A 25,387-nucleotide genomic window follows, 5' to 3' on the forward strand; every position below is an offset into this window, starting at 1 on the left:
TAATGGAACCAATACAGTGCTTCCTTGTGCCCCAGTGCTTCAGAGTTATTAGTGAACATAGTTCCTTCCATTTGTACTTTAGCCCCTCTCTTAATTTTCAGAAATGAATCCAGGCAGTAAACAAGGCTGACTAACAGATAGCAGGATGCACTCACAATTGAGATACTGTTATTGAGCCAATTTCCCTGTCTGACACACCCTTCTCTTAGAAGGATGTCTTTCTGTGGCTCCTACATGAAACAAGTAAAATGATTCCCAACAGGCTCTTCTACCAGGGTACAAATCACACCCAAACATGATGGCATTGGGCAAAGCTTAGGCTCCAACAGAGATTTTCTATTAAAGTTAGATTGAGTTCAGGTTGGGAAGCATATCCTCTGTCAAGCCAAGGAGTGGCTTGGATTTTATCTCGTAGGAAATAGGAATAGGTTCTTTGGAAAAACTGAAGGATGAATAGGACTTGGGTGGATAATTGAATGGGTTCTTGGGTGAATGAACTGATTGAAACGTGATTATGGAAAAATGTAGCATTAAATATGTGCTTTTCCTGAGAAATTTTAAATTGGTTTAAAATTAGCTAAGCAATGACCTTGGAATAATGGAGCTTAGTTCAAAGCTACAATTCACAATTGTTGTCAACTCTTCACTTTAAAAAGTGAATATTGTTCAGATGTGCAAAAGGGTTACACAAGAGTCCCAAAGAAGTCACAGGCCAGAAGTGTAGCTGATGGGTGATAGGAAAACCAGGTCTGTAGAAAAATCTCCCTGTTCATTACCATCCTCCTGAGTTTCTCCTTCCAACATCCTTATGTTCTACTTGCGTATTCTTATCATTTTGCAACCTCTTTACTTCTGGGCAAATAGGAAAACAGGCAGCTTTATCTTTGGAGTTGACTCTGAGGAAAATTCTTCTGGTGTCAAAGGAATGATTTGGATTAAAAATCTGAGGCTGAAACAATTTTAATGTTTATTTAAAATGAACTTTTCCACTAAACCTGTCTCATCAGATAACAACACTAAATATCATAGCTTACACACACAAATTTTATTTGGCCACAGGAAGAAAATAGGGAATAGAATTCAGTAATCAGAATATACCACACTGATGATACTATCTTATTACCATCAGTAATAAAATCAAAATATTACTCATTCTTCTTCCTCAGAATTCACTCACAGGGTTTGCATAGATCCTATGAGTCATGGTAGCATCTTCAGCCCTGGGAAACTGCCCTCTCTTTTTTGGCTCCACCTCCACCACCCCAAAAACCACACGGAGAGATGGAGAAGGGCTTGATTAAGAAGCTGCGAAGTTGCCTTAACATTGTTGTTTTCAAACTCACACTGCAGACACAATGCTTTGCGAACTTAAGATAATCATATTTCAGATAGAGATACCAGAGGCCGTTTCTCCAGCAGGTTCCTGCAGTGGTTTTTATGTCTTGAAATTCCAATTCAAGATTGGTTTGAGCCCTGGAAACTGAGATATTAGAACAATCAGATTATCTCATCAAAACAGATTGAGCATACTTTTATAACTCACACTGATCTTGGCTACAAAAGGATTTTGGTAGATGATTAAACTTTAGAAAGTGAAAGTAATATTTAGTTTGATCTTTATATGAGGCAATAATTCTATCAATTATAAGGATATTTCTTCTGAAATTTTCACTTTATCTTTAGTACCTATTTTTCCCCAGTATTTTTACCCATATTTCCCTAAAATTGAGATACCTGGGCTAAAACTGTTTTTTTTCCTTTATATGTTTCTATGCTTCGCTGTCAAATTAGGTTCAACTGATAAGAAAAAGCAAGTATAAGAGCGAGCTTTTGTTTCCTTAGCTGTACTCCTTGAACCCACTTCTCCATCACCTTCCCACCACCCACCCCATTGACAAAGATATTTCAGAAAAACTTTGAAGACTGTAGATCTGATATGAAGTAGTCCACCATTTAAAGCATTCTCCAGGGTGCAATATCGCCCCTAACAATGGGTCAGTCTTTAGGGGTGGGGGGAGCATCGGTTCTCAGCAGGCAAAATCTTAGCTATTAAATTGGCTGTGGCCCTCCAGAAAATTTATGTACTACATATCTGTACATATACAAATATGTGATGTATCTAGGGTAATAAAATTTCATAGGAGCTTTGGATAAGGGAGAAATAGCCTAAAAAGATGCTGTAAGGAAGCAGTAGTAAAACTTAAAAAGGTTAACAAACACTGCTTTAAAGACTATAGCCTCCTATTCTCTTCTAAAAGAATTGCATAGAAACAGTCCCTTTCCTAGTGCCCGCTCATGAGCTCCTTTATTTTGTCCTTCTCTGTTTTCCTAATACTGTGTTTCTATATGGTTTGAATATCATGTATTCAGATTTGACAATTTTCTTCTGCCTGCAAGCATTTTTAGTAGTACTTCTGTCTTTGCTAAACTAATTTGTAATTAGGAAAGAACCCATCTAGAGTGTATGCTTGTTAAACATCCTGTTGATTCATCTTTTTGATAACTGAATCTTTCTTTATCATTACTATTATATCACTTTGCCTTAAAACTGTTAATTTCCACAGCATCTCTGGCTAGGAAATCAGGGTTGCCTTGAGTTATTTCACGGGTGACAATTTCCTTTTTTGTTCAAATCTCTTTTTGTGGCATATATGCCATTTCTCATTTATTTAAAATATGATTTGACAACATATTTTCATCCTTATTTTATATGTACAGTTGACATTTTGCACAATGCAGGAGTTGGGGAAATCAACCCCCCTCTGTGTCTAACTTTTGACTCCCCAGAAACTTAACTACTAATAGCCTACCCTTGACTGAAAGCCCTGACAATAACATACACACATAAACAGTCGATTAGCACATATTTTGTATGTTACATGTGTGATATACTATACTCTTAAAATAAGCTAGAGAGAAGAAAGTGTTATTAAGAATCATACAGAAGGGGAGGTAGGTGCACTCAGTGTCACTTTTATTTTAAAAATCTGCACATAAGTGGGCCCGAGTAGCTCAAATGTCTGTTGTTCAAGGGTCAAGTATAAATATATACACATATGTATATGTGTATGCTAAATTGTGTCTATAGATTGGCTAAGCTGAAAAGCACAGCCTTCCTTAAATATCCAATTATATGTGCATATTGCAAGCTGACCAAATATTACATGTTTTCCACATGTATATTTAGTGATCAGTTGTGTTCTTTTTTAAAAAAATTGTCCTCATTCAGATGTTTTTAAAACATGAAATTGGCTTTTTAATAGTTTGTTGTAGGCTTCTTTTTAAGGAAAACTGATATATAGTTAAGAAAATGCAATTACTATTCACAAGGGGAAAAGCACAAATATTAAATGCATAAGTTATTACAGCAAATTAACATGGCCTTACAAATATTTCATACTGATAACTTCCAAATGTACTTCTCCAACGCAGATTTCTCCCCCAAACTCTAGATCAGGAGTTAGCAAACTGCAGCCCTCAGGCCAAATTCAGCCACAGCCTGTTTTCTAAAATAAAGCTTTACTGGAACACAGCCGTGTCATTCTCCCACGTAGTGTCTGGGGCTACACAAAGGCAGAGTAGTTGTGACAGAGAACATCTGGTCCACAAAGCCTAAAATATTTACTATCTGGTCCTTTATGAAAATATCTGCGGACACCTGCTTCTATTCATATATCCAACTCCCTCTTTCTATCTTCACTTAGATGTCTAAAAGTGTACCGAATCTAAAATGCTCAAAACCAAATTCTCATCTTTCCTCTAAGTCTGCTCCAACCAGAGTCCTATCCATCCCAGTTCATGTTAATCACCTTTCAGGTTAAGTGAGAAATTTTAGAGTCACGTCTTTACTCCTTACTTTCTCTCATACTCTATTTTCAGTCCATCAGATATTAAGCCTCCTATTGGATTTATTTTCAACATACTCAGAATTCAGTCTTTCATCAGCCACTCTGCTGCTAACATTCTGGCTTGAACCAGTGCCATAGTTTAGGTTACTACCATCTTTACAACATACATCCAGAGTAATCCTGATAACATGGAAGTCAGAGTATGTCCCTTCTCTACTTCAAACCTTATAGTAGCTCCTGATTTCCCTTAAAGTTATAGCCAAAATGCCTGTAATAGCCCAGAAGCCCTACATGGTCTGGCTCTCCCCTAGTACCTCCCTGACCTGCTCTTCACCACGCTCCCCATCACTTGCTCTCATCCAGCCTCTTGAGCCTCCTTGCTGTTCTCAGAAACGCCACACGTGCTTCAAGCCTTTGCCTGAGCTGTCTTCGGCCTGGAATTTGCATCATTTTCATATCCACGTAACTCACCCTCTCAGCTTTTTCGAAGTCTTTTCTCAGTGAGGCATAGCCTGGTCATCTTATTTACGACTGCAAACTGTCATCCTTCCAGCACCTCCTCCAAAGTCTTTATCCCTTCCCTTCCTCTATTTTCTCCACAGTACTTACTATCCTTATTGTATATAATTTACTTATTATATCTATTTTTTATTTCTTGCTTCCCCCCCGTTAGAATATAAACTCTGTTAAACAGGGTTCAGGAGACGTTTTATTTACATTTACCTATCTTTATCCTGAGCACATAGGGTGCCAGCCCATAAAAGGCCCAAGGAAATATTTTGTAAATGAAAAATGAACATTGATTTAACATTTTTCAGTGAAAAGCATAACAAACATTTTTCAGCTAACCTTTTTAAAGGCCTTGTATGTGTGACTGCATATGTATGTTCTTTTGGATATTTTTTCTTCTCTCATGATACTATAATTGTAAATATATTCAAACTATGATAGCACTTTCTTATGTAAGACCACTTCAACTTAGTATCTCTGAGATTACTGCTTTTTCAGCCTTTCTTCTAAATAGTCAGTACAGTATTTCCATGTCACATTGAGAATTGCTGATGTTCGATGGTGATCTATTAGCCATCTTATCCTTCCAAATCTGTTACTTCTATCTAAATAAACTTAAATTCTATTAATAGAATTCTTATATTTGACCCTATCCACATTTAAGAAAATACTTCCCCATCAAAACTTTGCCTTAACCTACCCTCTTTAGAAACCAGAGCCTGAAGCAAAGATTATAATAGTTACCCTTTACTGAGGAAGTGCAAGCTTGGGGCAGGGATGGTAGAAAATTGATAGTAAGACAAGGAAAGATGCAAAGCAATGCAACACAATGGGCTATTGCACTAGCTGGCCTTCTCAACAAATTGCAAAAAGAAGCAGTAAGTGCCCTGAGTAGGCATGTTCTGGTAGGCAGGAATTTCTTTGCAAGGATTGCAAGGAAAGGCCGTAGTTCAAAGTAGCCAACCAAAGAGACAAAGGGAGATGTGTCTGCCTGGAACCTTCTGACTCCTACTTCCTGGTGGTCGAAGTTTGCCTCAGAGAATTCCCTTTCCTGCTATCATACCATCTTACCCTCCAGGGTGCAGGTGAGGTGACTTGGCAAGGATGAGCATGGCATGTGAGAAATTAGACCACCTGGGCCCAGTATTTAAATCTGACCCAAGCCAGCTCTGAAAACTATGCAAGGGTACTGGTAAAGTCACTGATGGTCTGCAAGGAGGGTAGATTCTTCAGAAATAGGACATTGAGGGAATCTGAGAAGGTGTACAAAGTTTATATATTAATACAAAGCCACCAGCTCCAGTTATCAGCTTTACTTAACCTCAAGCCATGCTCAGAAAAAAAACACTCCCTTTACCTTTATTCATTCAATTCCTCCAAGTTTTCTAACTCTTCTTGGTCACAACCTAAATATTTGGCACATTTTTTTTTTTTTTTGGAGATGTAGTCTCGCTCTGTCACCCAGGCTGGAGTGCCATGGCACGGTCTCAGCTCACTGCAACCTCCACCTCCCAGGTTCCAGCAATTCTCCTGCCTCAGACTCCCAAGTAGCTAGGATCACAGGAGTGTGCTACCACGTCTGGCTAATTTTTTGTATTTTTAGTAGAGACAGGGTTTCACCATGTTGGCCAGGCTGGTCTTGAACTCCTGACCTCAGGTGATTTGCCAGTCTCAGCCTCCCAAAGTGCTGGGATTACAGGTGTGAGCCACCATGCCCAGCCCATAGTTGCTCTCTCACTTCTAATCAAAACACTCCAAACCCCACTCCTGGTCTTACACCCCATTAGTTTTTTTTTGGTCTTCCTTGCTTTATTATCCAGAGTCAGCCAATTCAGGGTTGTGTTTGCTTGGAGGCCTAGCCCATACTCAGGAAAGTCTCCAACACTTATCTGCTTTGTCTGTTCCTACTTCTGGGTTGCCAAGCATACTAGAAAAACTCACATAAATGTTATGCAAATTTATACATTCATACTATTTAAACTATCTACACTGCTGTCCTGTAATCCTTCTGTTCATCTGGAATGAACTCTGCAATATTTTCACCATCCAACTGCAAACATTGTTTTTCTGAAGCCACAAATTCCAATTTGTTATCTCATTTATTTTTTAAAATTTTATTCTGGTAACAGCACTTAACATGAGGTTTACCTGCTTGACAAATTTTTAACTGTACAATACAGTATTGCTAACTATTAGTAACATTGTACAGTAGATCTTTTGAACTTACTCATCTTGTATTAATTGAAACTTTATGCTTATTGATTATCAACTCCCTATTTCCTCCTCCCCTCCCATCTCACTTCCTACAGATTATTAAATTTACTGATTTATTATTTCACAAACATTCAGAATGGGCCATCCCAATACAGAAATCTTTTCTAAGTTCTTTTATCGGAGTATTGTTTTTACTGGTGCCATGATTCCATCCTGAATTACCTCCTATAGAAATTTACCTCAACAATTAGTCACTCTTATATGTTTTCTCTCTCCCATTTTTATGTATCCATCATCTGAAGCTGCTAACCAGGGCCTCTTCTATCCTAAAATTGAAACATACAAGAAGGAAGTGAAACAAGGCAATTAGTCACTATTTCATTTCTTTGTGTGTGTGTGTGTCAGTTAAAACCTAATACAGATTTAATTATATGGCAAAGACAGTATTTCATCAGTATATATTGTTAGAGATATTTAGATAAGACATAGCTTGGGAATGGAAAAATATAAAAGTACAAACTTCAGCTTTTACTATGTGAATTATTTCATATGGTTAAACCCAAAGTGGCATATTCAGGTGCTAGCAGTAAAAGTGATTTGAGTAAGTGCCTAGAATTTGACCAGGAAGCATAATTCAACAAGCAAGTAAGCTCATGTTCCTTTAGGAGACAAAAACTGAGTTGAGATGCAACCTGACTAGTGTGTAATTGTAAATTTTTTTCTCTTCACTTCATCAATTAGTATTCAACCTCAATCATTAAAAAATGCACCCATTTCCTGGTTAATAATTATTTATATAAAAATAATAGAAGCACTTCAGGAACAGTGGTATGAGGGACTCCGTGAACTCACTCCCCATAGAATCAATCATAACTAGTGAAAATTATAAAAATCAACCATTTACAGTATCTGTATATTGTCCTAAGGGCACAGACCAAGTGGAGAAACATTTATTCAAGAAAACCTAAATCTCAGAAGAGTGAGCGTCTATAGTTTTGAGCTACAACCTCATTTCCAGCTCCACGTGTTGGAAGCTGGAAGCTCTCTCTGGGTAGCTGTAACCTAGAAAACTGGGCTCTTTTTTTCCCCATGTTCTTGTCCAGGAGAGTGGTCTCTCCCTGACAAGCCACTTGCATTTCTCACTGCCCCAACTCCCAGGCTCTCAGCTGTAGAATCTCTATTTAGGCCAGCATGGCCGATAGATCTTGGGCTCCCTGTACCCATTTCCCACTCACAAGGTGGAAGTGCTGGCCCAGCCATGGAAGACTGAGAATACCAAACCCTAATCATTCCTGCTCCAGCTCATTAGTGAGAGCAGAGATTTCATGTCAGAAGAAGCTAGCAGAGAAGACCAGAGACTCAAGTCCCAGGCCTGTGAACTGTCAGAGGGGTATTGTTTTGGTGTTTTTGATTGTTTGTTTGTTTGTTTTGAGATGGAGTCTCACTCTGTCGCCCAGGCTGGAGTGCAGTGGAATGATTTCGGCTCACTGCAACCTTTGCCTCCTGGGCTTAAGCGATTCTCCTGCCTCAGCCTCCTGAGTAGCTGGGATTACAGGCACCCACCAACATGCCCAGCTAATTTTTGTATTTTTAGTAGAGATGGGGTTTCACCATGTTAGTCAGGCTGGTCTCGAACTCCTGACCTCGTGATCCACCCGCCTCGGCCTCCCAAAGTGCTGGGATTACAGGCATAAGTCACCTGCGCCTGGCCGGGGGTATCATTATAAGAGAAGCTAGCCACTGTCCCCACCCCCAGCTCAGGAGAAGTGGTGCAGAGTTTCCTCCCGAAGGCAAACAGCAGCATGTAGGAAGAGGGAACTCCATAGCTCTCTCTAGGGGAACTGACTTTATTTGGAACAGAACATGGGAAGCTTTACTCTTAAATGTGTTCTCAAAAACACTGGAAATTTCAGTGGTTAACATTAAGAGGATGAGAAGACTATAGATCAACTTATAGGCAAGATACACAAAAATATATAAACTCCTAAAACTCAATAAGAAAATAAACAACTCAATTTAAAAATGGGGAAAAGACCTAAACAACCACCTCACAAAAGAAGATAAAAAGGTATATCTCAAATAAATATATGAAAAGTTGTTCAAAATTATTTCATGAAATTTCAAATAAAAACAAGATATGGCTATATATGTATTAGAATGGCTAAAATCCAAAAATCTGATAACACCAGGTAATGCTGGTGAGGATATATAGTAAACAGGGACTGTAATTCCTATTACTGGTAGGAATGCAAAATGGCATAGACAGGCAGTTTTTTTTAATCAAGGTAAACAGTCCCACCATTTGATCCAGCAACCACACTCCTGTGTATCTACTCAAATGAGTTGAAGCCTGGGCACAGTGGTTCATGCCTGTAATCCCAGCACTTTGGGAAGCCTAGGCAGGAGGACTGCTGGAGTCCAAGAGTTTGAGCCCAGCATAGGCAATATGGCAAGATTCAGTCTCTACAAAAAAAATAAAAAAAGTTAGACAGGCTTGCTGTCATGTGTCTGCAGTCCTAGCTACTCAGGAGGCTGAAGTGGGAGGATTGTTAAGGCCAGGGAGGTCGAGGCTGCAGTGAACGGTGATCACGCTGCTGCACTCCAGCCTGGGTGACAGAGCAAGACCCTGTCTCAAAAAAATAAATAAATAAACCAATGAATGAGTTGAAGTTATGTCTACACAAAAATCTGCATGTGAATGTTCATAGCAGCTTCATTTACAATTGCCAAAAACTGGAAGCAGCCAACATGTCATTCAATAGGTGAGCAGATAAATGTGGCCTATCTATACAACGAAATATTGTTATAACTTGAATGTTTGTCCCCTCCCAAACTCATGTTGAAATTTAATTGCCATTGTAACAATATTAAGAGATGGGACTTGTAAGAGGTGATACGGCCATGAGAGCTCTGCCGGCATGCATGGATTCCTTGTAAAAGGATGAGTTCAACCCCCTTGCGTCTCTCTCTTGCCCTCTCTCTGCCCTCTGCTTTCTGCCATGGGATGACTTGGCAACAAGGCCACCAGATGTCAGCCCCTTAATCTAGGACTTTCCAGTCTCTGAAATTGTGAGGAAATAAGTTTCAGTTCTCTATAAATTACCCAGTCTGTGGTATTTTGTTACAAGAGCACAAGATGAACTAAGATAAGTATTATCTAGAGATAAAAAGAAATGAGCTATTAAGCTATGAAAGACATGAAGGAAACTTAAATGCATATCGTTAAGTGAAAAAAGCCAGTATAAAAAGGCTATATACTGTATCTTCCCAACTACATGACATTGTAAGAAATGCAAAACTATATATAGAGACAGAGAAAAGATTAGTGTTTTTCAGAAATTCAGGGGGAGGGATGACAGTTATAGCACAGGAGATTTCTTAGGGCATTGGAACTATTCTATGTGATATTATAATGGTAGATACGTGGCATTTCACATTAGTCAAAACACATACAACTGTACAGCACAAAGAATGAACCCTAAAGCAAACTATGGACTTCAAATCCTCACCAGTATTGGTATTACTGAGTCTTTGGATTTTAGCCATAGTTAATAATGTATCAATATTGTTCCACTGATTGTAACATCAGTTGTAACAAATGTGCTACACTAATGCAAGATGTTAATAATAGGAGAAACTGGGGAGGTAAGAAGTGATGGAATATATAGGAGCTCTCTGTACTATCTGTTCAACAAAATCTTAATAAATGAAAAACAGCTGATGGAATGTAATAAGAAAGGTTTCTCAAAAGGCGCCCCCCACCCCCGCCATTTTTTGCCATGTGGACCATGCCATGTTTTGGCATGATTACTTTCAACATCTTTGTAATTTTACCACGTTTACTTTCAACATCTTTGTAATTGTCTATAGTCAGCTCTGAGAGATGACACATAAGATTTTGACCTGATGTCAGACTCCTCAATGATGAATCAACTACAGTGTTTCCCATTTCTTATAAGAGCTAACTTAGCTCTAGAAACCAAATTACCAAAATCAAGAAGAAAAGATAGGATGTCACTACCACCTTAAAGCAATTTTTAAAAATAATTATAAGGGAATACTCTGAGCAATTGAATGCTAACAAATGAGTTAACATAGATGAAATGGACAAGTTCCTAGAAGGACACAAACTACTGAATCTAACTCAAGAAACTGAAAATCTGAATCTACCTATAATAAGAAATAGATTGAATTAGTAATTGAAAACCTGTCCACAAAGAAAAGTACAGGCAAAAATGACTTCACTGGTGAATTTTACCAAACGTTTAAAAGTGAATTAATGCCAATCCCCAACAAACTCTCCAAGAAACAGAAGATGTTTTCCAATTTTGTCTATGAGGCCAATATTACCCTAATACAAAACCTGAAAAGGCATCATGAGAAAAGAAAGTGAAAGTGACAAATCAATATCTCCTAAAATATAGGTGCAAAATCATTAACAAAACACTATCAAAATGAATGTAGCAACACATACACAAAAGGATTACACATCAAGACCAAGTGAGATTTATTCAGGAGTCCATGGTTCGTTTAACACCCCAAAATAAATCAATGTAATAGAATATATTACAAAAATCACATGTCAATTGATCAATAAGAAGCATTTGACAAACAAAATATCCTTTCATGTACAAGTGTGCAACAAACTAAGAGAAAGGACCTTTCTTAATCATAAAATCTATGAAAAAGTCCATAGCTGTCATCATATTTGATGGTGAAAAATAGAGAGCTTTTCACCTAAGATCAGGAACGAGACAAGGATGCCTATTCTTTCCACTTCTATCCATGACAGTACTAGGTGTTCTATCCAAGGAAATTAGGCAAGAAAAAGTAATAAAAGGAATCTAGATAGGAAAGGAAAAAATTAAACTATCTCTAATCGAAGATGACATGACCTTGTATATAAATAATCCTAAGGAATAAAACAAACTCTAACAACTAACAAACAAGTTCAACAAGGTTTTAGGATACATCAATATGCAAAAATCAGTGGTATTTCTCATATAAATGTGTTCAGCCCCTGTCCCACATCCATGGATTTAACCAACTGCAGACTGAAAATATTTGAAAAAAAATTGTACTGAACATGTACAGAATTTTTCTTGGTCCCTAAATAGTATAACAACAATTTATATAATATTTACATTGTATTAGGTATCATAAGTAATCTAGAGATGACTTAAGATATAGAAAAGATGTGCATAGGTTATATGAAAATACTATCCCATTTTATATTAGGATTTGAGTGTCCACTGATTTCGGTATTTACATGAGGTCTTAGAAACAATTCCTCATAGATAACAAGGGACAACTCTACATTAACAATCAGGAAATGAAATTAAGAAAGCAATTCCATTTACAATAGCACACAAAAGAATAAAATAACTATAATTAAATTTCACAAAAGAAATGCAATACTTGTCAACTGAAAACTACCATAAAACATTGTCAAAAGAAATTAAAGAAGACATAAATAAATGGAAAGACATCCTATGTTTACAGGTAAGAAAACTTAACATTGTTAAAATGCTAATACAATCCTCCCTTGATATTTGTGGGAAGATTGGTTTCAGGAGCCCCTGTGGATAGCACATGCATATCTGTGCAATAGAATGTTATTTGGACATAAGGAATGAAGTATTGATATATACTATAATTTGAATGAACTTTGTCCATTATGTTGACTGAAACCACTATAGTAAGAGAAAAGTTACACAAGACTGCATATTGTGTGATTCTATTTATATGAAATGTCAAGAGTAGGCAAACCTAAAGAGATAGAGCATAGATTAGTGGTTACCTAGGACTGTGGTTGTGACTGCTAATGGATATAGGGTTTCTTGCTAGGGTGATGAAAATGGGCTAAAATTAGATTGTTGTGATGGTTGAATAACTCTGTGACTATAATAAAAGTCATTGAGTTGTAAACTTCAAGTGGTTAATTTTTATGGTATGTGAATTAAATCTCAATAAAAATATTATAAAAAACAGTAGGGTAACCACTTAAATAATGAGTATATGACTTCCAAACTAGTACAGGGAACAAAAGGCTCAATTGATCCAACAGAAAACAAAGGAGAAGAAAAATAAACTGGGATATGAATTGTATAGGAGAGGATAATAGAAATAAATGTAAACATACTAGTAATTACAGTTCAAGTAAATGGAATAAGCTCAGTAATAGGTAGTGTCATACCAATTTTTACATGATATTTACTGGAGATACATAAAGCCTAAAGGCATAGAAAGATTGAAAGTAAGATAGCAAACTAAATAACATGTATATATTAAGCTAGAGGAAAGAAAATGCTGTTATGATATCAGGAAAAAAATACAATTTAAGGTATTTTTTAAGAACACAATAATTATTAGTGATAAAGTGTATCTCTACACAATAATAGACTTATTTTTATTATTATTATTTCTTTAGACCAATTCTTGCTCTGTCACCCAGGTTGGAGTGCAATGGCAGGATTTTGGCTCACTGCAGCCTCCACCTCCCGGGTTCAAGCGATTCTTCTGCCTCAGCCTCCTGAGTAGCTGAGATTACAGACGCCCACTACCACACCCGGCTATATTTTGTATTTTTAGTAGATATGAGGTTTCACCATGTTGGCCAGGCTAGCCTCAAACTCCTGACCTCAGGTGATCCGCCCACCTCAGTCTCCCAAAGTGCTGGGACGTGAGCCACCACGCCCAGCAATAGACATCATTTTACAAAGAAAATGTAATTATTCTAAATGAAGTGACCAAATATATGAAGCAAAAGTTGACAGGATTACTAAAAGAAATAGACATTCTGTAATCATGGCGGAGATATTAGCAAATCTTTCCCAGTACCTTCATAGATCAAGTAAACAAAGATAGCAGAAATTACTAGACGATTAAGCACATCCCTAAAGAGTTTAAAGAAACCCAAAGAGTTTAAAGAGTTTAAAACTGCATGTTTAACTGATTTGTACATAATAGACAATAACCAAAACAGAAAGAAGTTATGTTTAAAGTACATTTCTATCAGGTGGTGGATCTTAGTTTGCTTGTTTGATGTTTTTATGGTTTATTTTTATAAGTCGATCAATGTGGAAAGTTGACCTAGCATTTATCAAATGCCTAGTGTGTACCAGATGTTTTACTTCTAATCCTCAGACAACCTCATGAGAATAATTACCTTCATTTAACAAAGAGGAAACAAAGACTTGGGAAAGCTAAGTGATTTCCTAAATTCTCGTAACTGGTAGAGTTCAGGTTTGGACTTAAATTTGTCTCATAGAGTCCTCTCCTGAGTATATTTTAGAAGTGAGATATTGTTTCTTGATTAAGTGCTTAACTGCTCCCTTGAAACAAGATACTAAATTTTGAGCATGGGTAAATGTATGTAATTCTACCCTAAAGGGAAATTCATATGAAGTCCCTTTTTTTGTCTCCCTTTTCCTTTCTTCCTTTTTCTTCCTACAAGCCCAAATCCCTATAAAAAATGAAGAGTTAACACTACCCATCATTACAAATTAGTTGCTGCAGGCTTTAGTGCAGAAGAACATGAAAGCCCACCTTACCAATATTAGGTGAATAAGATGCTAGTGCTTATAAAGTGGAGTTAAATTAACCTGATTTAACTAAGAGATGTTATGCCAAAGAGTATAAAAATTGAAGAGAAAAGACAAGTCTAACTTTCTTAGAATATGTGTATATTAGATGAGGTATAATAGGTGACACTTAGTTAGCCAGCCCTTGTGTTTTAAATATATAATCTTATTTGCGTATTCCATCAATCTTATGAAAAAGGTACTACTATATTTGACATGTCATAAATGAGAAAAATGAGGCTCAGCGCAGTTAGATAACTCTACCTAAAGTTTTACTGATAAATAAGTAGTAGAGCAAGAATAGACCCCAAGAATCCACGATGGTAACCACATAAACCATATTTTCCTCAAAGGTATGTGAAGGTCTCCTAAGAGCAGAAACTTTTTTTTTTCTGGTAGAAGCAGACTTTCAGTCTATATTTTCTTCCATTCATTTTTGCACTTCTGATCCAGATCACACCTTTATTTCACTCATCCAATCTACTGGACAACTTTGAGCTTTTCTAGATTTCTTTTTGGGGGACCGACTGTGACTAGATGTGTGTTAAAATGGACAATTGTTCTGTTTCCTGAAGAGATTCCAGTCTCTTACTCTTATAGGTGTTCTACAGATGTAGAATTAGGAAAAGCATTGTCTACATGAAGAAATTTAGAAAACACAAGGAAAACCAATCAGAAGGCCAAAGTTGAGGAAGACTCATGTCTAAGAAAATGAAGGTGTACATCAGGCTTAGGTAAGAGAAGTCTAGGATACAGGAAAGAGGGGATTCAAATCCAATCCAAAAGCTGAACATTGACCAGCACCATACTAAAATAAACGTACCATATAGAATTAATGGGAAGATTTTTAATCTCACATGTAGTCTAATGCTTCCTGCTTCTCTTCAAGTTCTAAGAACTAACAGGCAAGTACTTTTAGTTGTAGGTGAAGTTTAAGAGAGATCAGGACTAACAGAAGTATGCTGTGTGTTTGGAATGTGTGTTCTTCCGCCATCTGTAGGACATGAGTGTCTCCTATTGGGTGCCTGTAGCCTAGCTTGTTTCTTTCTGGAATCTTTAGCCATGCACTACATCAATTATAGGAATAATAGCTATGAAAGACTCCACGTTTTCCCTTCTTCCCGTATCTGAGGTGAGAACGATATAGATTAGGTAAAATGCTGTTCCCATTTCAAATATTCAGCCTGACAAAGCAACACTGCTTTCTCAAGCAGTTGCAGTGTACTACAATCCAGTCTTTGGGATTAGAAATCCAAAGGACTCAGACTAATACTACGCAAATCACAAGTTTCCTTTTACTGGTTTAATCGTTGCTGATAAAAGGTACAAATGAAATTACTGTATTTGTTTAGCATTAATTGTAATTTTTGAAATGTACTCACCACTTACTAAAGATTATAAAGCATGACACTATGTTAAATGAAGAATCTAATGAATAATTTTTTTTTTTTTTTTTGAGACGGAGTCTCGCTCTGTCACCCAGGCTGGAGTGCAGTGGCGCAATCTCGGCTCACTGCAAGCTCCGCCTCCCGGGTTCACGCCATTCTCCTGCCTCAGCCTCCAGAGTAGCTGGGACTACAGGTGCCCGCCACCACGCCTGGCTAATTTTTTGTATTTTTAGTAGAGACGGGGTTTCACCATGTTAGCCAGGATGGTCTCGATCTCCTGACCTCATGATCCACCCGCCTCGGCCTCCCAAAGTGCTGGGATTACAGGCATGAGCCACGGCGCCCAGCCTAGTGAATAACTTTTAAAAACATTCTGCCAGTGACAAGTAAAAAAAAAAAAAAATACTGAAGCTCCCGTATTGCTTCATATGTGTTTATTGATATTTTCCACAATGTCCAAAATAATGTATTTTACATAGCTTCTGCTCATGAAATATTAGTTGATTTTTTTTTTTCCATGGAGGATTCATTTCAAGTTATTTCCCAAACCTTGGTGAGCCAAAATTCAATCTGTCTCTCAGAGGTGGAAACACCTACTTGTAACTAAAAAGTCACTGGGGCTTGTGTATTGATGCCAGTAAGACTCATTCATCATTGTTGATGATGTTGGTGCACCTGTTTATAAGTTACAGGTATAGAAAAGCCTGAAATAGTAATGTTTTACCCAGACAGATATGGGGACATTTTCTGTTTTCTTCTAGAGAGAACACTTTTTCTCATTTTGTTTCAAAATGACTTTGCAGACAGTGAGAGTGAAAGGTGTTTTATTCTTACTATTGACTCTCAAATTTGCAGTAAACCACGTGGTTTCTTTCTTAGAAACATAGAAATTATGAGCTGGAAAGAACCTTAGAAAACAGCCCCATTATTTTACAGATGAGGAAACAGGAACCCAGAAAATGATGAGCACCTTTCCAAGGTACCAGATTTAGTTAGCGGCTGAGCCAGAACTGGAGTCTATATTTGCCTTATTCTACCTCCAGTGTTGTTTCCCCACCACACACAATCCTGTTCTGCATATCTCAAGCCAAAATAACCAGTCAGTTCACCAAAGAAAGTCCAGTTGATTGTCTGACCTGTTAGCCAGTACTGAGCTCTGCAAAATTCCCCATTCTTTGTACTACATAGGTGACGCTATTATTCATTGTATTAGACGGTGTCTACTTCATGTAGACAATAAAGAGAACATTACTTTTCTGAACTTTGTACCACAATATGTTGTATTTTATTCTAAGAAACTTAATCCTATTTTAGGAACACTGAATTCTGTAACTGATTAGGTTTCCCTTTTCTAATTGGCTGCTAGACAGCTAAGAACAAATGTGTGGCCTAATTTTATTAGTGGAAAGGGCACTGTGTAATCTAGTGTTCTGTTATCCTTAGTCCTGCCTTTATTTTACATCGTTATCTTTGATTCTTTTTCTTTTGCTTTTACACTTACTTTGTACCATCTTGCTTTATTTGATCATTGAAATTTAATTCTTTCTTGTGACAACATAAATATAAATAAATGCAGATGGGATTGGTTTTAATATGCAACTATTTTATTATGATAGATTGCTTCAATATTCCAGTTTATTTTGAATATATCTAGAAGTCTTTCTAACTCAACTTGATTAGTTTACCCTCTTCAACCTTGGGCTACTCTCATTTTGATAAGTTTACATCATGAAGATGACATGAGGAAATTAAATTATTTTGTAACTTGTTTACATAATTTGATTTGCCTGAACTACATCTGAACCTGAGTTCAAACTTACAGAAGATAAATAACAAGTTTGCTATAAAAAGTGTCTCATAAATATGGAGAGAAGTTAACTATCATGAGTTTTAAAATTCTTTTTACCAGGTAAAATGTTTGCTTTATTGGGCATTTCCTTGGAGTTGAAAAAGCTGTCTGTTTAGCAGATAAATTTCTGAGAGATCAATAATATTGACTTAAATTTCAAAGGGTGCTTTTTTCCGAATATTTTACATATTAGCATTGAAGAATCCCTTAAAAAGATAAAGACACATGGTGGATTATGGAGTAGCTCAGAATTTGTCTAACAATCCTTACTCATGTTTGCAATTTGTTAAGGGCCTAGTAATGATCTGATTTTGTTTGAAAGTTAATTTACTTTATGAAGTAAGATTTGCTATTCCTAATTATTCTATTCACAAGACAACAAGAATTCAAAAGTAAAATATTTCATTAGTTCTTTCTTCCTGATTGTCTTCCCTCACTTTTTCTAAGGATTCAGTTATTCACATCCTTGTCTGTTATGTGTGTGCTGATACTATTACTTGTAGGTAACTCCAAAGACTTGAGAAGAATCAACATGTTGTTGAGATTCTATGAATTTAAAGCATCCTGAGAGCCACAAGAAAGTGTGTTTCTTTTTTTTGTTGTTATTATACTTTAAGTTTTAGGATACATGTGCACAACGTGCAGGTTTGTTACATATGTATACATGTGCCATGTTGGTGTGCTGCACCCATTAACTCGTCATTTAATATTAGGTATATCTCCTAATGCTATCCCTCCCCCCTCCCCCCACCCCACAACAGGCCCCAGTGTGTGATGTTCCCCTTCCTGTGTCCATGTGTTCTCATTGTTCAATTCCCACCTATGAGTGAGAACATGCGGTGTTTGGTTTTTTGTCCTTGAGATAGTTTGCTGAGAATGATGGCTTCCAGTTTCATCCATGTCCCTGCAAAGGACATGAACTCATCATTTTTTATGGCTGCATAGTATTCCATGGTGTATATGTGCCACATTTTCTTAATCCAGTCTATCATTGTTGGACATTTGGCTTGGTTCCAAGTCTTTGCTATTGTGAATAGTGCAGCAATAAACATACGTCTGCACGTGTCTTTATAGCAGCATGATTTATAATCCTTTGGGTATATACCCAGTAATGGGATGGGTGTGTCAAATGGTATTTCCAGTTCTAGATCCTTGAGGAATCGCCACACTGACTTCCACAATGGTTGAATTAGTTAACAGTCCCACCAACAGTGTGAAAGTGTTCCTATTTCTCCACATCCTCTCCAGCACCTGTTGTTTCCTGACTTTTTAATGATCATCATTCTAACTGGTGTGAGATGGTATCTCATTGTGGTTTTGATTTGCATTTCTCTGGCTGGTGATGATGAGCATTTTTTCGTGTCTGTTGGCTGCATCAATGTCTTCTTCTGAGAAGTGTCTGTTCATGTCCTTCGCCCACTTTTTGATGGGGTTGTTTGTTTTTTTCTTGTAAATTTGTTTGAGTTCATTATAGATTCTGGATATTAGCCCTTTGTCAGATGAGTAGATTGCAAAAATTTTCTCCCATTCTGTAGGTTGCCTGTTCACTCTGATGGTAGTTTCTTTTACTGTGAAGAAGCTCTTTAGTTTAATTAGATCTCATTTGTCAATTTTGGCTTTTGTTGCCATTATTTTTGGTGTTTTAGTCATGAAGTCCTTGCCCATGCCTATGTCCTGAATGGTATTGCCTAGGTTTTCTTCTAGGGTTTTCATGGTTTTAGGTCTAACATGTAAGTCTTTAATGCATCTTGAATTAATTTTTGTATAAGGTGTAAGGAAGGGATGCAGTTTCAGCTTTCTACATATGGCTAGCCAGTTTTCCCAGCACCATTTATTAAATAGGGAATCCTTTCCCCATTTCTTGTTTTTGTCAGGTTTGTCAAAGATCAGATAGGTGTAGATATGTGGCATTATTTCTGAGGGCTCTGTTCTGTTCCATTGGTCTATATCTCTGTTTTGGTACCAGTACCATGCTGTTTTGGTTACTGTAGTCTTGTAGTACAGTTTGAAGTCAGGTGGCGTGATGCCTGCAGCTTTGTTCTTTTGGCTTAGGAGTGACTTGGCAATGCAGGCTCTTTTTGGTTCCATATGAACTTTAAAGTAGTTTTTTCCAATTCTGTGAAGAAAGTCATTGGTAGCTTGATGGGGATGACATTGAATCTATAAATTACCTTGGGCAGTATGGCCATTTTCATGATATTGATTCTTCCTACCCATGAGCATGGAATGTTCTTCCATTTGTTTGTGTCCTCTTTTATTTCATTGAGCAGTGGTTTGTAGTTAGCAAGAGCAAATACGTTCAAAAGCTAGCAAAAGGCAAGAAATAGCTGAATCAGAGCAGAACTGAAGGAAATAGAGACACAAAAAACCCTTCAAAAAATCAATGAATCCAGGATGTGGTTTTTTTGAAAAGATCAACAAAATTGATAGACCGCTAGCAAGACTAATAAAGAAGACAAGAGAGAAGAATCAAATAGACGCAATAAAAAATGCTAAAGGGGATATCACCACCGATCCCACAGAAATACAAACTACCATCAGAGAATACTATAAATACCTCTATGCAAATAAACTAGAAAATCTAGAACAAATGGATAAATTTCTTGACACATACACCCTCCCAAGACTAAACCAGGAAGAAGTTGAATCTCTGAATAGACCAATAATAGGCTCTGAAATTGAGGCAATAATCAATATCTTACCAACCAAAGAAAGTCCAGGACCAGAAGGATTCATAGCTGAATTCTACCAGAGTTACAAGGAGGAGCTGGTACCATTCCTTCTGAAACTATTCCAATCAATAGAAAAAGAGGGAATCCTCCCTAACTCATTTTATGAGGCCAGCATCATCCTGATACCAAAGCCTGGCAGAGACACAACAACAAAAAAAAGAATTTTAAACCAATATCCTTGATGAACATTGATGCAAAAATCCTCAATAAAATACTGGCAAACCGAATCCAGCAGCACATCAAAAAGCTTATCCACCATGATCAAGTGGGCTTCATCCCTGGGATGCAAGGCTGGTTCAACATATGCAAATCAGTAAACGTAATCCAGCATATAAACAGAACCAGTGACAAAAACCACATGATTATGTCGATAGATGCAGAAAAGGCCTTTGACAAAATTCAATAACCCTTCACACTAAAAACTCTCAATAAATTAGGTATTGATTGGATGTATCTCAAAATAATAAGAGCTATCTATGACAAACCCACAGCCAATATGATACCGAATGGGCAAAAACTGGAAGCATTCCCTTTGAAAACTGGCACAAGACAGGGATGCCCTCTCTGACCACTCCTATTCAACATAGTGTTGGAAGTTCTGTCCAGGGCAATCAGGCAGGAGAAGGAAATAAAAGGTATTCAATTAGGAAAAGAGGAAATCAAATTGTCCCTGTTTGCAGAAGACATGTTTGTATATCTAGAAAACCCCATCGTCTCAGCCCAAAATCTCCTTCAGCTGATAGGCAGCTTCAGCAAAGTCTCAGGATACAAAATCAATGTGCAAAAATCACAAGTATTCTTATACACCAATAACAGACAGACAGCCAAATCATGAATGAACTCCCATTCACAAATGCTTCAAAGAGAATAAAATACCTAGGAATCCAACTTACAAGGGACGTGAAGAAAGTGTGTTTCTGAGAAATAAACCTTATCAAATTAAGCATATTATAAAATAAACCATGAGAATATTGCATCTGTTGGGTCAGTAAGTTCTCACTGAGAAAATTAGAGAACACAACATCACATGGTATGTTGCTTAAGTTATACTCACCAGATCAAACAAAATTTAATAAATGATGGAATAAACACACTGTTATTTCAAAAAATAGGCAAGTTAGATCTAGGGCTGCATTATCCTATAGAGTAGCCACTACCTACATGTGGCTATTTGAGTACTTAAAGTGTGTCTAGCATAAACTGAGATGTGTTGTAAGTACAAAATACATGCTGAGTTTCAAAGATGTAGTACAAATCAAAAATATAAAATATCTCACTAATAATTGATTTCCTATAGGAAATATCTCACTATATTGATTTCCTATAGGAATAATATTTTAGATATACTTATTGAATAAAATATAGTAATAAAAGTAATTTTACCAGTAAAAACTTGAGGATTGGTAGAAAATGATACAGAAAATTTCAACAAGAAACAAAATTAGTTTTAATGCTCTTATTGGTCTCCCAGTAATTTTATTCCTGGAAATTTATTTTTTAGAGACAGAGTCTCACTATGTTTTCCAGGCTGGTCTCAAACTCCTGGGCTCAAGTGATGTTCCCACTGTGGTCTCCCAAAGTGCTGGGATTACAGGTGTGAGCTGTCATGCCTGGCCTCTTATTCCTGGAAGTTTAACAAGCAACAGTAGTAAAATCTATACGTACATCACATATAATGACCACAAGTATACAGTGATAGCATGCGCATGTGAATGCACACACACTGAGTCCATTAGGAAATATTTCTTTTTTTTTTTTTTTTTTTTTTTTTGAGACGGAGTCTCGTTCTGTCGCCCAGGCTGGAGTGCAGTGGCGGGATCTCGGCTCACTGCAAGCTCCGCCTCCCGGGTTCACGCCATTCTCCTGCCTCAGCCTCCCAAGTAGCTGGGACTACAGGCGCCCACCACTACGCCCGGCTAATTTTTTGTATTTTTAGTAGACACGGGGTTTCACCATTTTAGCCGGGATGGTCTCGATCTCCTGACCTCGTGATCCGCCCGCCTCGGCCTCCCAAAGTGCTGGGATTACAGGCGTGAGCCACCGCGCCCGGCCAGGAAATATTTCTTAACAATAAAAGCATTAACAAATTTCAGACAGAAAATTTGAAGTTTGTATATGTAAATTAAATATGATATATGGAGAAATCGGAAACAAGGTGATATGCAATATAATTGTACTGTGCATGCAAATCAAAAGGGACCAGAAATAAATATTCAAAATAACATTGGTGTGCTGAGACAATAAAAGTATAAGTGATTTTAATCTTCCAGTTTTTGAAGTGTTACTGATATACTATCTTTTACATTTTTAAAGAGATAAAAGGGAAAAAATAATGTATTACAAAGAAACTAGCATACCTTGTGTATTAGGCTGCTTGGGCTGGCATAACAAAATACCATATACTGGGTGGCTTAAACAACAGAATCTATTTTCTCACAGTTCCAGAGGCTGGGAAGCCCAAGATGAAGGTGCTAGCAGTTCATTTCCTGGTGGAGACTCTCTTACAGGCTTTCAGAGAGCTGGCTTTCTTGCTATGTAGGGGGTGGGCAGGAGATCTTCTTAAAAGACCACCAATTCTGTTAGATTAGGGCCCCACCTTTATGATCTTTTTAAACCATAATTACCTCCTAAAAGCCCTGTTTCCAAATATAGTCACACTGGGAGTTAGGGCTTCAATATATGAATTTTGGGGGAAACACAATTCAGGCCATAGCATTTTACAATGTGACCTCATGCTGTAATACAAAGAACATAAACATTTTATTTAAAGAAGCTTGAAATTGAACTCAAATTCCATTACAAAGAAGCTAGTTATTTTAACTCCTCCAAGTTTCCATTTTCTTAACTGTAAAATGGGGAATGAACATTTATTTCATAGGATTGTTTTCTTTTTGTCCCAGTTTTTTCTTTACTCCTGTTTTTCTTTATTGCCTTCTTTGGGAATAATCAAGTTATTTTTTGATTTTTCTCTATTTTTTCAGTTACAAGCTTTTGTATTCTTATGATTTTCTTAGAGATTACCATATGCATCTTTGATCTATTGGAATCTCTATAAATTAATAGTATTACTACTTTTTGGAAAATAAAATAATCTTACAATATGCAAACTGTTCTTATCCTCCTCCTATATTTTGTGCTATTGCTATCATGTGTTGGCTGCTATCAACAAATTGACATTTCAGCTCCAATTTTACTCTTTGATGTCTGTTCTGTGAAAATGAGAATGGGCCTAGGTCTGCCTTAGTTTTAGTGCTGCTATAACAAAATGCCACAGACTAGGTAATTTATAAAACATGGCAATTTATTTGGCTCATAGTTCTTGAGGCTGGAAGTGGCTGCTTCTTGTGAGGACCTTCTGGCTGCTTCATCCTGTGGCTGAAGGCATCACATAACAAGAGAGTACAGGAGATACAGCAAGAGGACCCAACTTTTTTTCCTAACAATCCCACTCTCAGAATAACGAACCTACTCCTGCAGTAACATCACTGATCTATTCATGATTGCAGAGCCGTCATGACCTTGTAAAGGTCCCACCTATCAGCACTGTTACACTGGGGATTAAGTTTCTACCACATGAACTTTAGGGGACACATTCAAATTGTAGCAGGGCCTATAAACTGTTTTCTTTGCCAGTTGTGGATGTTAAACTTTGATAGAAGTGCTGAGAAAAGTCATTACTGGAGGAGAGAGTATTCTTTCTCGGTTCTGCTATGGCTGTCTCACCAGGTTTTTCCAGGGTGTGCTTTTTTCTACACTGCACAGCCCACGTGGTTTTCTTCAGGGCTAGGCACCTCCAGGGTGCACCCTTCTGCAGCATTTAACTGTTGAGTGTTTTCTGTAAGTATCCACTTGGGTAGCAGTGACCTTGGCCCAAGTCATACAAAGAAGTGGGCTATATTCCTGAAGAGGGAGACCTGTCAAGCTCCTGAATCTAGCAGTGCCTACAACAGCTCCCAAATTCCCTCTGTAAGCCCAATTTCCTCTGTCTACCTGCTCATCAGCCTTAGCTCACCTGTGTCCTGCAAGTTTGTTTCCTGTGATCCTCTTATTGCAGATACCATGAGTTTATTAGTCAGGGTTCTCTAGAGGGTCAGAGCTAATAGGAGATATATATATATATATATATATGTATCAGACTTGGAGTCTGATGTTTGAGGGCAGAAAGCATCTAGCATGGGAGAAACATGTAGGCAGAGAGGTTAGGTCAGTCTAGCCTTTTCACATTTTTCTGCCTGCTTTATATTTGCTGGCAGCTGATTAGATGGTACCCACCCAGATTAAGGGTGGGCCTGCCTTGCCCAGCCCACTGACTCAAATGTTAATCTCCTTTGGCAACACCTTTACAGACACACCCAGGATCAATACTTTGCATTCTTCAATCCAGTCAAGTTGACACTCAGTGTTAACCATCACAATGAGCCACAGACCTCATGTCTACAATCCCCCTATATCTTTACACCTGCCTACAACCATCAGCTTGCCTGAATGAACAGAAGTTCTTTCCTTTTTTGTTTGGCTCCTATGGGTTATCTCTGGCCTGGAATACCCAGATAATTTCTCCAGCATCTACTGGGCTACAACCAATCTTCAATAAAGTCTGATTTCCCTCCAAAGTTTGTCCTTCCTTGAGTATTCTACTTCCCCAGAATACCTGTTAGAGTTCTCGTTATATCTTTATGGTTACTCTGTTTCTGCCTCCTGCTAGGGCTTGGGGTGATACATCTGATAATTTTACTGTGCACTAAAACTTGTAAAGGCAACTTCTATTTTCAGCCTAGATGAAGTACCTGGGACTGAATATAACCACCTGCCGGAAGCAAATAAAAATTGGACAAAATATAAGAAACACTTATTTTCAAACATTGTCTATGACAGAACACAGTAATTTTGAGAGCTGGGAACTCACCAGGAGAACTCTATGATTTCCCTCACTTACTGATGTGAAAGACTTTCCAGATCAGTGCACAAGGAAGGAAAATCCAGCTGGAGCCTGACGGTGTTCCTCAGTTATAGAGAAACTGAGAGATGGAAGGGAGTTTAGGCAGCTGGAATTTGCAGGGAAGAGTTCCAGAATGGGGGAGTCTGGAGACCCATAGAGGATTTCAGTTGAATCTTCAGTTGAGTATTTATCAGTGTACATTTGAGAAGAAACTCTGAGTCTGAGTAAAAAGAAAACCACATGAAAGGATTAGAGAAAGCAATCCTCAAAACATGAACAGAATCAGCAATAATGTTTGTTCCCATCAGCCAGAATGGAAAATAA

The 25,387-nt window shown here is 37.5% G+C and overlaps 2 long non-coding RNA genes across 2 annotated transcripts in view, besides 1 other annotated feature; one reads left to right on the forward strand and one right to left on the reverse strand.

The window, feature by feature from the left end:
- Positions 1 to 25,387, forward strand: part of LOC107986772 (uncharacterized) — a 129,008-nt gene that overhangs the window by 43,505 nt on the left and 60,116 nt on the right. The window lies entirely within an intron of this gene.
- Positions 1 to 25,387, reverse strand: part of LOC101927609 (uncharacterized) — a 164,409-nt gene that overhangs the window by 8,397 nt on the left and 130,625 nt on the right. The window contains exons 7-9 of the long non-coding RNA XR_007060234.1: positions 25,031 to 25,283; positions 6,812 to 6,898; positions 1,399 to 1,480 (exon numbers count right to left, since the gene is read on the reverse strand). This is a non-coding gene — a long non-coding RNA (uncharacterized LOC101927609). The remainder of the gene's footprint in view (positions 1 to 1,398; positions 1,481 to 6,811; positions 6,899 to 25,030; positions 25,284 to 25,387) is intronic.
- Positions 16,452 to 16,571: an enhancer, noted in NCBI's record as "active region_25671". NCBI's record gives its function as "activates an Ori minimal core promoter by ATAC-STARR-seq in GM12878 lymphoblastoid cells {active_cell/tissue: GM12878}" and the evidence as "EXISTENCE:reporter gene assay evidence [ECO:0000049][PMID:35858748]".

The sequence above is a fragment of the Homo sapiens genome, chromosome 7, assembly GCF_000001405.40.
Source record: "Homo sapiens chromosome 7, GRCh38.p14 Primary Assembly".
In the NCBI taxonomy this organism is placed as follows: Eukaryota; Metazoa; Chordata; class Mammalia; order Primates; family Hominidae; genus Homo; species Homo sapiens.